This window comes from Homo sapiens, chromosome 1 (assembly GCF_000001405.40).
Source record: "Homo sapiens chromosome 1, GRCh38.p14 Primary Assembly".
NCBI classification, from domain to species: Eukaryota; Metazoa; Chordata; class Mammalia; order Primates; family Hominidae; genus Homo; species Homo sapiens.
The window spans coordinates 206,451,467-206,464,708 of record NC_000001.11 but is presented as its reverse complement, the minus strand read 5'-3'; the positions used below and the strand labels follow the sequence as shown (position 1 = coordinate 206,464,708).

The window sequence follows — 13,242 nt, the reverse complement described above, 5'->3', positions numbered from 1 at the left end:
GTCCAATGGTGAGCGGGAAGACTCTCTACAAAACCTATGAGAATCCACACACAGGCTAAATGGAAATGCTGGGGGAAAAACCTCCCATTCTAAATGCAAGTGTGCTGTGCCTTGGTGGGGAGGGAGAAGGTGGCTGGCTGTAAGGTCATCTCGTTGCTCTCTCTGTTGCCAGGCAGGGCTCTGTTAGCACAGACGAATCAAAATCCCTCCTGGGCAGCTGGAGTCCTGAATCAGAGATTTCAGAGAGGAGAGAAGGGATATGAACTGCAGCATCGAAACCTAAAAATGTATTTTATTTTGAAGTTGTGCTTTGGATTTTCCCCAATCCAACATCTGTTGAGTGACAGTCTTAGGTTCACACAAAGCATCTCCAAGCATACATACAATATTCCAGTTATCAACACTATTTTAAAGAATATACCATTTTACACAAATGTGACATACAAGTCAGACGCCACAACATTGCGATTCCCTGGAAGATGTGACTTCTCTTCTGCATGGGAAGTAGATCTGCACCAGCCCTTCCAGTGCTCTGCGCATCCCGGTGCTGGCATCACCGCTCCTCATCTCCTTGGGGAGAAGCCAGGGCGCCCTGAGGAGGTTGGCTGAGACCAGTGTTTCCAGTTTACAGGCTGCTGGCTACAAACTCCTCTATTTTCTAAATTGGGATGCTAGTAGCCCCACCCCACCTCTCTTCCCCGAAGACTGACCCTTCAGAGTCCACACCAGGAAAAGGATCCATGCCATGAGGGGTGGAGCAGGGCTCTTTGAAGCATCATGCTGGTTTCGGCAAGCATAGCTGAGGAAGGCTGGTCTCCCTAGGCCCTGGATGGCCAGCTCCTTTTGGCTTTTCGGTGTAAAAATCACAGTGTGCAACCTCAATTCCAGTTGTTTGCAGTGAGCTCTGCCGAGAAGGACTCTCCTCCTATCGGTTCCTAGTCCTCTCGACAGGACCATCTCACAGGTGTTAGGAGCACCAGAGATGGGGAAGACAGCTCTGCCCCCAGAGCTGGGTTTAGTAGGTGACCACTCACACACTGTTCAGTTCATGATGCAAATTAGCGCGGATGGACACTGATCAAGGGGATGGTGAACACGAGTCATGTACAGGGTTGAAAGAGAAATAAGGCAGGAGCAACAGAACAGGCCCAAAGTGTTGCCATTAAGAAAGCTTTGCTTTTACTTTCTTAGAGGGGAGTGTGCTGGAGAGAGGGAGAAAGGGCAAGTGTGGGTACCAGTTTTGATCAGTTGGATTGAAAGGAATGTAAAGTGAAAGATAGGGTTTCATTTTCAGCAAGGAAACAGATCCTTGGGTATGAAAGCCCCGTTGGCTTGGGACCTGTGTAGGCCCAGGTGACAGGCAAGAACAGGTCAGGAAACAGCAACAAAAATCAAGACTGTGGGTTGCCTCTTCTAGGCTGACTCACTTCACTGAAAGAGTTCTTCAGTTCTCCTGCCTAGCACTTGGAAAGGTTTCTCTGGTGCTGCAGGTTAGCCTTCTCATTAGTGATTTCCCACAAAGCACCTCTTTTCCTTTGCACAGGATTAAAAAAAAAAAAATCCTACCACTTTCCATAGACCTAACTACCAATTTCGCAGGTTGGTCCAAAAAGAATCTCTTCTAGGTCAAAGATAAGAAAACTCAGATTTTCCTACCAGAATGGCAACCCACCATCTCTCCGGAACTACAGAAAATAATAAGGCTAAAATATAAGTGCAGCTTTTAAACCAGAAAACACAGAGAAGAAGGATGAGTTTCAGCTTTAACTCAAGTTGCTGTCTGAGACCCATGAGCCTGGCTGTGGATGTGTCTGGTCCTGATACTCCTGGGATAGCATGATGCTAGGGGGGCCAGGAGCACAGGCACCAGGTTTGGAGACTGAATTGGAGCAGACAAGGGTATGATTTGTGCATTTTGGAAGGGAACCAGAAAAAAGGCCAGAGTAGAGCCAGAATATTCAGCATTCAAATTTTAATTTTCTTTCGATTCTGGCCTTGGGAAGACTTGAGAGCCTGTGGGGTCAGGGTTCCCTTAATTGTCCTTGTTTGCATAAATGAAAACTGGTTTTAAGAGGTAGGGTCTCCCTTTAATCTAACTAAGGCTCTCTAAGCCCCTGTTGGTCCCTGAAGAGAGACCTTGTAAAATAAGGAAACTAAGGGGTGGACTTAAAACAAGTTTTCATTTGGGAACAATTTCTGGATTAGCAAAGCTGAATTTAATTTTTTAATAGGATAATGAATTTTATGTTTTAAGTGCCAAAAACATTAGGAGGAAAAAGGACCCATTTCTTACCTTTCCCAAACCTGCCATAGACACAATAAAACTCTCTTAAGACTCTTTACCCTAAAAGGAACCAGCTATAAAACTGTCTTATACAGGAAAATGTCTTAAATGGAAAATGGTCCATCAGAGACAAAGGTAGGAACCCGAGAAATGTCTATACATTCAGAAAAACTTTAAAAGCTCCTTAATAAGACGGGGGTGTACTTCTAGGGGATGGAGGAGAGGCAAGAGCAAACACCAATGACCAATTCACATCAATGGAAAGAACACAGAGAGAAAGCCCCCAACCCCAAACAGGTTACGGGATTGTCCCATCCCGTTATGTTTCATATGATGGAGAGATTTCAAAGGCTAGGTTCTCTGGCCCAGACAGAACAAAGTTTGTGATGGAAACAGAGACCCCTGGTGGCTACTGTGTGAACTGCCACAATAACTTACAAAGAGACTGGTCTATGACCAGGAGAGGCTACACATGCCAGAGACTAGAAAAACATATGTGTGTGTGTGTGTGTGTGTGTGTGTGTAAAATGTGTGTGTGTGTAAAATATGTGTGTGTATGTAAAATGAAGACTGGACTATATATGATTCTCTATAATCAGTTCCCAAAACAAGATGCCACTGAAAGCTGGATGGCAGTAGCCAACCATCTGGTCAAGGCATCACCGTGGTCTGAGGGGACTGAGACTTGAGCCCATGTCCTCAGGACTGCCTTACCAGATTTCACAGTGACCTGATAATGAAAACCTGTCTCTGGCTAACCTAAGAACGGTACGGACTGCAGCTGGCTGAATTACGACGACTGGGGGAAGCAGAGGGCAGTGGGAAGGGAGAGGCGATACCAAGGGCTTCATTCTCAAGGTTTTGGGAGACGGGGAGGCTAATTCCTGCAAGAACAACTTAGAACCTAATTTTCAACTGAAGTCCCCAAGCTAGTTAAATAGGAAGATTTTAATAACAGTCAGTCCCTATAGTCCCCTTGTCTAGAACAATTAAATTATTATCCCTCAGACAGTACAAGACTTGTCAGTAGACTGTGGGGAAGTTGATGAGTTGACACCAGGGCTAGTGGCATTTGTTTTGGGGAAGACAGTGGGCTTGGGCCGTGTGGCTGGTGGTTTGACCGGGGCAGCCATCTTGACAGACTTGACAGGCCGGAAGGCGCAGGCGATGTCCCCAGCAGTACTGGCGCTGCGCTGGAAGGCGGGCTCGGGGTCCTTGAGGAGCTGGGTGTGCAGAGGGCTGGAGGGCTCTGACGTGGGGGCCACCACTGGGGAGGTTTTGAGGGGCTCCAAGGTGTCCAGAACCACGTCAGGGGTGTGTTTGACACTGCTCTGCCGTTCTAGTTCCCGTAGCTCATTCAGGGCCGAGTTCATTGTTGCCTCAATATCCTGCAAAACAGGAAAAAGGAGGAGGTGAGGCAAATGAGGGGAGAATTCCCCAAGGAGCCGGTTTCAACAACACAGGCCAAGGCATGAAGAAAATGACCGTAAGATGTCCAGATTATTGTACTTGGCCTAAATCTTTGAACATATGAATGCTCAGGAAGTAGGGAAAGGGGGACGGAGGGATTTTCACTGTCATGAGATTTTTTTTTTTCCTTTAGAAAAAGTAATTGATATTTTTTTAGAGACCCTAGGTTTTAGAGATAGATATTGAAATACTTATCGACGAAGTGACATATAATCTAGTGGGGAAGAGAAACACGGACAAAGTAAGAATGGCCAGGAGTTTGGTGATGAGTACATGGGGATTTGTTATCCAGTTCTGTCTGCTTTTGGGTAGGTTTGAAATTGTACATAATAAACACTTTTTTAAAAAGTGGTAGAGATGATGTATGATCTTTATTCTCTTGGACTTCAAGGCCAAAGGTGAAGAGGGTTAGTCCTTCCTCCTCAGGGGCTGAGGAAAGTTTCAGGAGCCCAATACGCCTCCCCCCGCCCCTCCTCCCCAACTCAGGGCAGTGTCCAATTTGAAACCATTTCCTTCCAGCCATCACCACCAAGGGGACAAAAGAATGACCAGGAAGGGGAGCCAAAGCCCACATAGGTGAATCAATTGCCTGCAAATCAATGGAACACTCTAGATCTTTAGCCAACAGCAGTCCTAGCCCAGGGACTCAAGGCAGAACCAAAGAACCTTTGTATGCAAGCCAGCTGCCTTCCAGTGAGACTTCCCAGCTCCCCGCTCCCTCCCCATAAACCTGTGTCTGGCACCCCCAAACTACCACAGGATTTCTTCTTGGGATTAGGTTCACATGGAAAGATTTTACACATTCCAAGCGAAGGCCTTTGGTTAAGGTTTCTTTGTCGTACAGACCGATGCATGCTTTCTGTTCACAGTGATTCAGTTTCACTCATCCCTATGACATTCTCAAACCTTTAAAATGCTCAGGAAGAACTCCATCTCCCTCCTCAGTCGCACTCTACAGCTAGTCTGTCCCAGCTGTCTACCTTTCCTGACATTCCTATTAACACCTGGCCAAGGAGGGAGCTGGGAGGATTCCCGTAGCGCAAGGCAGATTGCAGCCAAGAGCTTAAATAGAGGCACAGAATAGAAGGCTAGCAAAGCAAGACATCTCAGGCCTGTAGCTCAATACTGGGCTTGCCAGGTACATCTCCGTAAGCAGAGAACCACAATTAAGCCAAGAGAGACCATGCCCAGCCTCTATCACCCCCTGGAAGATGGGGTAAGGAGAATCTCAACTCAGTTGAGATAAGAAGGCAACAATAAGCCCTTAGTTCCTACCTGGTCTAATGAAAATTATATAGTTGGGAGAGACGTCTGAGTGAACTGCTTGGAGTGGCCCCGGTAGTCGGATTTTTAGAGGTGGGGTTGGATCTCTAATATTTCATGGAAAACAGAGAGTCATCAGTGCGGTGCATACACAGAAGGAAGACCCTGCAACCAGGGAGCTCATCTCCATAGCCTCTGGAGGCTTGGGCTGCAAATCCTTTTGGTTACCAGAGCTCTCTGCAGCCAGAGTATTTTTTAGGTCTTTAAAACCAGGTGCAGGTTCTTAATTGATCATCTACCCATTCGGTACCAGAGACTAGCCTTAGGAATCGGGATGATGGTGATGGGCACAGCAATATAAACATGTGGCCAGGATTACACCTGATCCTCAACAGTCGGGCAGTTTCACTAAAGTCTACCAAGGTCTTTAGACTCAAAACTTGGGCTTTCAAAATACTCTTAATACCGGCTTTAAAAATTACAACAGCCTTCCTAATAGCCAGTGTATGAGCAAGAAGCTAGGCTTCTTTTATTCTGTCTTTAGGTTCTTCCTGGGGAGAGAGGGACAGGCAGACCACTTATTAAGCTGTCTTATTGGGTCCACATGTCCAGAGTGGACATATACTCAGTATATCACATACAAAATAATCATTCTGTTTCAAGTCCTGTCATAATTAGGTGGGTGGCACTAAGTGGTAGTGATGAATGTAGACTCATGCTGTCTGTCCAGGAGCCCACAGTTACCTGAGCAATGACCTCAGGGTCCATGGGCCGATGGTTATTGAAGCTTTTTGACCTTCCCGCTGTGGCAGTCTTCCGGATCTGTGGACTATCCAGCCGATTCTTCAGGGATGAGTGGCGGCTGATGGAGTTGAGGCTCCCGTGCCCACTGATGGAACACTTATCTGGCCCTTCTTTGGGGAGGCTCTGGCTCATGATGGGCTGGGAGGATGGGCGGCAGCTAGCCCCCACCCCTGGGGAGGAGGAGTCAGTCAGGGAACTGCTCAGCCCATGGCTGTCACTCCGAAAAGTTTTCCGGATGCTCCCAGATTCTGGACGCTTCCTTTGCCTTCAATCACAAACAGAAAGGGCAGTGTGATCAGGGAGCCCTGGCTCCAAGGAAGCTAGGATAAGTGGGAGGGGGCAGATGTTGGCACCCAGGGACTTCGGAAGGAGAGGGACACAGAACTCGTTCTCTCCTCGGCTTCATCTTCTCTTGCATTCTCCATGTCTTCATTCCCTTGCCACCCCCAAGCTGGGTGAAGGAGAAATGGATACTTACTTGGTGGTCACGGGCTTTGTGTTGTCAAGATGTAAGTTGCTGTCAGAAAAAATGTCTGATTAAGCGAAGGTTTCTAATGGGAAAGAGATTCATGGAAAGGCCCCTTCTGTGACCTGCCATGAACAGAAACCTAAGGCCCCAGCTAGGAGAAGAAGTCTCACCATCACCAAAGAGGTCAAGATTGCTGGTAAGAGGATAGTTAACTTTTCTAAATTTTAGCATGACTCTTTTTCCAAAAAGACTGTAACTGTTTTGGGCTCTGGCAAGAGGCTGTTGTTGCTTATTCTGTAGGCATGGAGCAGAATAGTTTTCAAGAGGCAGCAACACTGCAGAGTTGGGGCCCAGTTTGTGCGTTTTCTTAGTGTGGAAATACCTCTACATGACTCCCAAGTCACCCAGCACTGGGCTGAACCCTGGATCTGGGCGAATTTGTTTCAGACCACTTAGGGCTCTCAGACAAAATGGCTTGGCAGAATCCCAGTTACATGGGTGTTGCCTGCTGCTGGATAATTTCATTTTGTCTTGGAATCAGATCTGAAAAGGTCTAATCTAAGAGGCAATGAAACTTCTGATTTGGATGGCTGCTGAACAGCTCTGATCTTGAATCTAAGAGAGATGGGGGCTGAGGCAGGAGTTGAGGTGGAAGGAGGGAAGGGGTTAGACTCTGAAGATAAGGAGCTGGTCTGTGAGGTGGGGACAGTGCTCTAAGCCAGTCCTAGTCCTGTTCACTGCTGAGGTCTTCCTCATCTTTCTGCCTGCAGGGCCTGGCCCAGGACCTGGCATGTATCAGTCACTCCGTGAGTCTGTCCACTCGGCAGTTTTAGGCTTGTGACTCAGCCGCTCTCGAGTGGAAAAAGGATGTTCTCAGAGTCTTCTAAGGCCCTGCTGAAATGAACCCCCTCTCTGCAAGGATTTCCCTGGCACCACTAACTCCAACTGCACTGGCACCACTGCACCACTAACTCCAGTTGCAGGAAGAATGGACCCCTCCCTCCTCTGTACCTTCAGAGCATCTGATGCTACCTGTCAGTTACCTGTCCATAGGGTCTTTACCTTGCCAGACTGTGAGCTCTGAGATCAGGGACCTCGTCTTTTTTATCTCTGAATAAACACCAGCAGTGCTTGGCACAACAGTAGATACTTAATAAATGTGTAGAATTAAATGGAAGTGCCACACCCTAATAGCTCTTTGCTGATTTCCTTTTTCTGCTTGAGGATAGCTGACTCATGGGCTGAAACTGCTGAGAAGACAGATTTATGGGGTGGCTGTGGTGTGCCATGTCCCAGGCTAGGCCCTGGGGATGTAAAGAAAAGGAAGATATAGTTCCTGGGTTCAAGGAGCTCAATCTGGTGGGGGATCTGAGTGAAGCGTGAGTACCAAAAGGTATTCAAAGTGTCTTTGGAATGCAGCATAAGGGCACCTCACTCAGCCTGGGGAAGTCAGGGATGTCAGAATGGCTTCCCCAAAGAGCTAAGTCTTCGGACTGAGTCTTGAAGGGAGATGAGGAGGTGACCAGGTGAGGAGACAGCAGGCGTGAGCGCCCAGGGGCGAAAGAGAACCTGGGCACTCGGGAAACTCAAGGAATTTGGGAGGAGGAGTGGCGTGGGGGGCAGGAGGTAAGACTCAAAGGCCGACTCACTTCTAAGGGCCAGACATGCCCCGGGGCCACCGCTCACCCACCCACCAGGTGATGAGGCTTGTCCTCCAAGAACCCCATCCCAAGACTCCTGACACCAGCAAACAAGGAGTTCAAGGGAACCACCTTAACTGTCTACAGATACTCTTTTTTTTTCTTCTTCTGTTTACCATTTCAGTTATTACTCTCTACAATTTCTATGCACAAATGGCATCAAATATATGATGGCTTAAAAATATGTACTTAACTAATTATCTAACTCTTCCTCCACCAACCCCGCCTTGGTTTCTGAGTTAATTATAGGATCACGACCTTTTGATTGTAGGGTTACAATTTAACACAGAATTGTAAATAAGGAAAAAAATGTGATTAGCCCACAGTTACTTGATATTGGCTTGCCCTCCCAGCAGGGCAGTGTGCTGGAGGGAAACAGAAACTTCTCAATTTTTTTTTAACTGGTCTGAATTAAATTATAACTACACTGAGTAAGTGATCTGAATAAACGACTTTACTAACTTGAGGGTGAAAGAGATGGAAAAGAGCCACGTGCCCCAACCACTCCCCCTGCTACCGTCTGGGTGGAAAAAAGCCAAGAGATCTGGGAAACCTGGTATAGTTTAAAAACAACAAGCATCCTTTATTCTCCTTCCAGTCTCAGTGTCCAGAGGCTACGGTTAACAGGTTTTCAAAGTGCAAATCATTTCATTCCTCAAAAGCCAGAGGGGAATAAAAACTGTACATCATCTCCAATCCATATTCATCAGGAGCGCCCTGGGGCTTGTCATCCTGCTGGCACGGGGCCAGGTTTCAGGGCCTGGCGGAAAGAGGTCTGTAGGCTTTGGGACTTGGTGTCTGGCCCCTTGAGATGAGATTAGTTCTCCAATAACCTGAATGCCTCTTGGGGAGGCGGCAGCACGCAGGCGTAGAATCCCTCTAGACAGCCAGATCGGGCGTGGGTGGAGTTTAAACCCCAGGATGTTGCTAACAGCCACAATGAAAGCTGGGGGTCAGAGGTAAGAGCCTGCTGAGCAGGAGTGGGGATCTGCAAAGGGACTAAGGGGGTAGAATAATACAAAAGGCCAAAGCAATAGGAACAAAATGGAAAATTATTTCTCCTGGTGTGAAAGGGCAGAAGAAAAGGGAGCTAGGGGTTAGCCAATGAATGAAGAGCTCAGGACAAAGCTTTCCTTAGGGACATCGTGGCCTCCTTTCCTCCACAGGAGTGAATGCAGGACAGGGGGAGGAACAGACACATGATATCTCAATAAACCCACCTGGTGTAACATCAGCCTAGTAGAAGCCACACACAGACTCTGAATCTTTGCACGAACACGGGTCAAGGAAGACAGACATCAAAGACTATTATTTGAGTATGGATTGGAAAAAAGAAGGCACCTCTGAGAAACAGTACAAAACCAGGTTGCATAAAGTGACCAAAGCTTTGGTCAAAGTTTTAGCTGTAAGACTGCCACAAAGGTCTGGGTGGACAGACACTGCGGGAACACACAGTAAAGCACCCTTCCACAGCACGAGGGCAGCTAGCTGGAGACCTGGACCTGCCCCGAGGCTTGTAGCAGCATCCTCAGCCCTGTCCGCCTTGCAGCAGCAATGACCACATGCAAACTGTTAGGCTGGGGGAGCTGGGAGCCCTACGTGCAGCACAGGAATGGAGATGGGGGTTAGGCCAGAGGGTGAGGCTGGGTGTTGCAAGTCATTCAGGGGAGCAGAAAATGAAAAGCAGAGCTTACTTGTTGATGTTTGCAAGATAAATATCGGCTACATGACCCCCACTGGGACAGCTGGCCCCCGCTCTGGCTGTCACCTTTTCTTCAGGTGGCTCAGAAATGACCTCAATCTCAGACTTGGGGCTGGACCTCTCCACGACACCGTCCTCGCTGGGGGAGAAGGGGCAGGCAGGCAGGGAGGAGGGAAAACAACAACAACACAAAAAGCAGCGTTAAATCGGCAAGATGGCCCCCCGACATACACGCGACCCCACACAGCTCTGAGGCAGCAGCGACACCTGGCTGGACTAGTTCTGTGAGCAGAGGCAAGGAAACCTAAGGGCCTTTGAAGGGTCGTTTAAATAAAAATAAATAATCCGCTGAGTTCTGCGGGCTCCTCAGCTCCTCAGGAAAGCGTGGCTAGGGGACACCTGGATTCGAGGCATCTGCCTTCTACCCCATGCTGCTTCCTGGGGAGGCCGTGCTGGGGCGGCCTCCTGGAGAAGGAGGCGGCAAGTCCAGGTTGTGGTTTATCGGCTGAGGTCCTGAGCACTGCCGGGTAAGGACAGTCAACTGTGTGGTGGCTCTGGAGACGGCGGCGTCGTGGCAGGACACCGCCACACACTGTCGTAGCGCCTCTAGCCCCGCTCAGAGCATCCAAGCCGGTCCCAGGTCTCTCCACTGCTCTCCTGGCCCCTCTGGCTACTGATGACAAAGAAAGCCCCTTCTCCCCCACAATTCATCTTCTCTTGATCCTGTGGTGAAGTCATAATGCTAAATTTGGGAGGGTCCTGTCCACGCACAGATTGCCACCAGGTTTGCGATGCTATCAACAGAGGGAGGATTTCCCTGCAGAACGAGCCGGGAAGAGGCTGGGAGGGTGCAGACTCACTCAGGATATCAACCTTTAAAAAATAATATTAAGGGAAGGACTAAAAACACTGACAGCATCGTATCCAAGGGAGGGGAGCTGGGGACAGAGACAGGGCAAACGGACAGGGGGCAGGCTTGGGTGGGCCCACGGGACAACTGCTTCAAAGTGTGAGAATCAACCAACAGCCTATCAGATGAGATCTCTCTGGGACCAGTTCAGGTTTCCTTTGTTCCTTGACATCCTTTTCCCTCCTTCCCCCATCTTACCCTATATCAACCTCATCTCGGTTAAATGAACTAGGTCACTTCCATAAGGCTGCTTAAGCCGGATTTCTCCTAGAAAACCAGTCATTTTAATTTGCAAGTGGAAGAGTGGCTCAACAGGTTGGGGTGAGCATAGTTGTTTAAAAAAAAAAGAGAGTAACAAAAATGTTTTCCCAGCCTGATCTTTCGAGAAAAGAAATATAGGTGGTCAAATAAAAACCCCTTGTTATCACTCATCAGGTATAAATATGGATGAGTGCTGGCTGGCTGGCAGGTTTCTAAAATGACTGGATTAGGGGGTGATTTGCAGGGGGCACAGATAGTGGAGAGATTTAAAAAAATTCTCCACTGAGTGCAGGGAGTGGGGCGGGGGGTGGGGGGGGTGCTCTTCAAGGAACTGTGTGAGCCTCAGGACTGCACTGGACCCCCCAGGGGTTGGCCTCCCTCATAGTCCTATGGCTCCAGAAATGAAGTCTCACTCCCATAGAGCAGCTGGGGACCACCCCCAAAGATGCCATGGGCCCAACGTACGTGTCTTGGACCACGATGTACTGATGGGGGATGAGTCCGTCGATGCCATTGTGCCGGCCTTCCCACCAGTCGTCGGAAGCCCGCTGGTAAAGCAGCAGGGATGCTCCCTTCTTAAAGGATAGCTCTCGGGCTGTCCGGCCCACGTAGTCAAACTTGGCAATGGCCTCGATGGGCTCACATTCTGAGAAGGGTGGAAAAGAAGTAAACACATGTTCTTGGGACCTGCAGACTCAGGAAACTGGGTGGAAAAGCTGAATTAGCTGAACTTACAGTGGTAGGAAATTACTTAGTGGGAAAACGAAGCCATGGATGATCTATAAAGCAAGTAATTCTCACGCAGACTATACCATTATCCTGAAAGCACTGGTATCACCTTTTACCTGCCTTTGCTCACACTGTTCCCTCCACCAGGAATCTTCTTCTCTCTTATCTGCCTGATGAAGCACATCAAAACACAACTCAAGCATCCCATTTTTTTTTTTTTTTTTTTTTTTTGGGATGGAGTCTTACTCTGTCGCTCAGGCTGGAGTGCAGTGGCTCGATCTTGGCTCACTGCAACCTCTGCCTCCCGGGTTTACGCGATTCTCCTGCCTCAGCCTCCCAAGTAGCTGGGACTACAGACGTGTGCCACCACGCCCAGCTAATTTTTTGTATTATTAATAGACGGGGTTTCACCATGTTAGCCAGGATGGTCTTGATCTCCTGACCTCGTGATCTGCCTGCCTCGGCCTCCCAAAGTGCTGGGATTACAGGCGTGAGCCACGCGCCCGACCGCATCCCCTGCTTTCTACAGTAACTTCTTTGGTGTTTCCAAAGATCTTCATGCCTTGACGTCTATCATCAAACTTGCCATACTATATTTTTAAGCATTATTTCTTTTCTAATTATATAATAATTCCAGTAATTGTAGAAAATGTATCATACATTTTTTAGAATACATACATGTATTCTAAATATTTTATGTTATCCATTCCCCCTAGTAAGTAGAATGTGAGCTTTCTGTCTCTCTATAAAGAGAAAATAACTTGCTCAATCAACTTTCCAAGGAGCAAAATATGAAAATATATTTTGTGACCAACCTATGAAAAAAATGCACATGAAAGTAATCTAAAAAAGTAAAAGGGGTCTACGAATGCAATCTATCTTTATTTTTGTGTGGGCTTCTGTCTCCTCATCTGTAACATGGAGATTAATAATCGTGTCTTTTTCATGAAGTTGTTATGAAGAGTCAATGAATTACAATTTGTAAAAGTGCTTAGAACAGTGTCCCGCCCATAGTAAGTGGTATGTGTGCATGACTTATTGTTATCATTATCTTCGTCTGTGCTAGGCTGCAGGTAGAGATCAAAGAGCAAAGAGAAGGCTCCCAGAAAGCTGGAACCTGAGATGAAAGTCGGCTATTCTGGGAAGCAGAGAGAAAGGCTGCTTAAAAATAAGACCATGCCTAGATGGCCCTAGCTGGTGGGTCTGCTCCTGCACAGGAGGGGTTGGAGATTTCACTATAGGAGGCTGGTCAGAGAAGGCCTGTCTAAATATACCCACCTCAGTTAGTTCTCTACAGCCTCGGGTACGTTACTCGACCTCCCTGACCTGCATTTTCTCAACTGTAAAATAGCGGCCATATCTTTTTCACTACAGATTAAGAGATAACATATATAAAGCCTCTAGCAGAGCTGGCCACGAGGTAGGCTCTAACCCACTACTCATTTTCCTAGTTCACCTACTCCCCTCCTCGAATGTAGCAAATGATCATATGGATCCTTATGACATCAGGATCTAAATAAGCAGTCCTATTTTTTTTTTTTCTCCTTTGAAAGCTGGCCTAGAATTGCAGAATTCCCAGCAAGGCAGGGAACAGGGAAAACTCCACAGACTGTTGCCATTTCATTCTTGTGCCCAGAAAATTCTGAGGCC

The 13,242-nt window shown here is 47.7% G+C and overlaps 1 protein-coding gene across 17 annotated transcripts in view, besides 1 other annotated feature; it reads right to left on the bottom strand.

Moving 5' to 3' along the window:
* The window catches only part of SRGAP2 (SLIT-ROBO Rho GTPase activating protein 2), a 260,896-nt gene continuing 247,926 nt past the window's right edge, over positions 273-13,242 (bottom strand). For 6 of the 17 annotated variants that reach the window (XM_011509354.3, XM_011509355.3, XM_047416533.1 and 3 more), the window contains 5 exons: positions 11,329-11,509; positions 9,685-9,831; positions 6,300-6,338; positions 5,762-6,086; positions 273-3,672 (listed from right to left, as the gene is read on the bottom strand). In XM_011509354.3, the coding sequence (XP_011507656.1) occupies positions 3,289-3,672; positions 5,762-6,086; positions 6,300-6,338; positions 9,685-9,831; positions 11,329-11,509 (1,076 nt within the window). In that variant the 3' untranslated portion in view covers positions 273-3,288. Of the gene's footprint in view, positions 3,673-5,029; positions 5,125-5,761; positions 6,087-6,299; positions 6,339-8,549; positions 10,566-11,328; positions 11,510-13,242 lie in introns of those variants that run through there. The other 11 variants (NM_001377445.1, NM_001377446.1, XM_047416535.1 and 8 more) reach the window with 6 other exon arrangements.
* Positions 9,361-10,032: an enhancer, noted in NCBI's record as "H3K27ac-H3K4me1 hESC enhancer chr1:206628023-206628694 (GRCh37/hg19 assembly coordinates)". NCBI's record gives its function as "activates a minimal SCP1, AML or CMV promoter by ChIP-STARR-seq in primed H9 embryonic stem cells {active_cell/tissue: H9 hESC(primed)}" and the evidence as "EXISTENCE:reporter gene assay evidence [ECO:0000049][PMID:30033119]".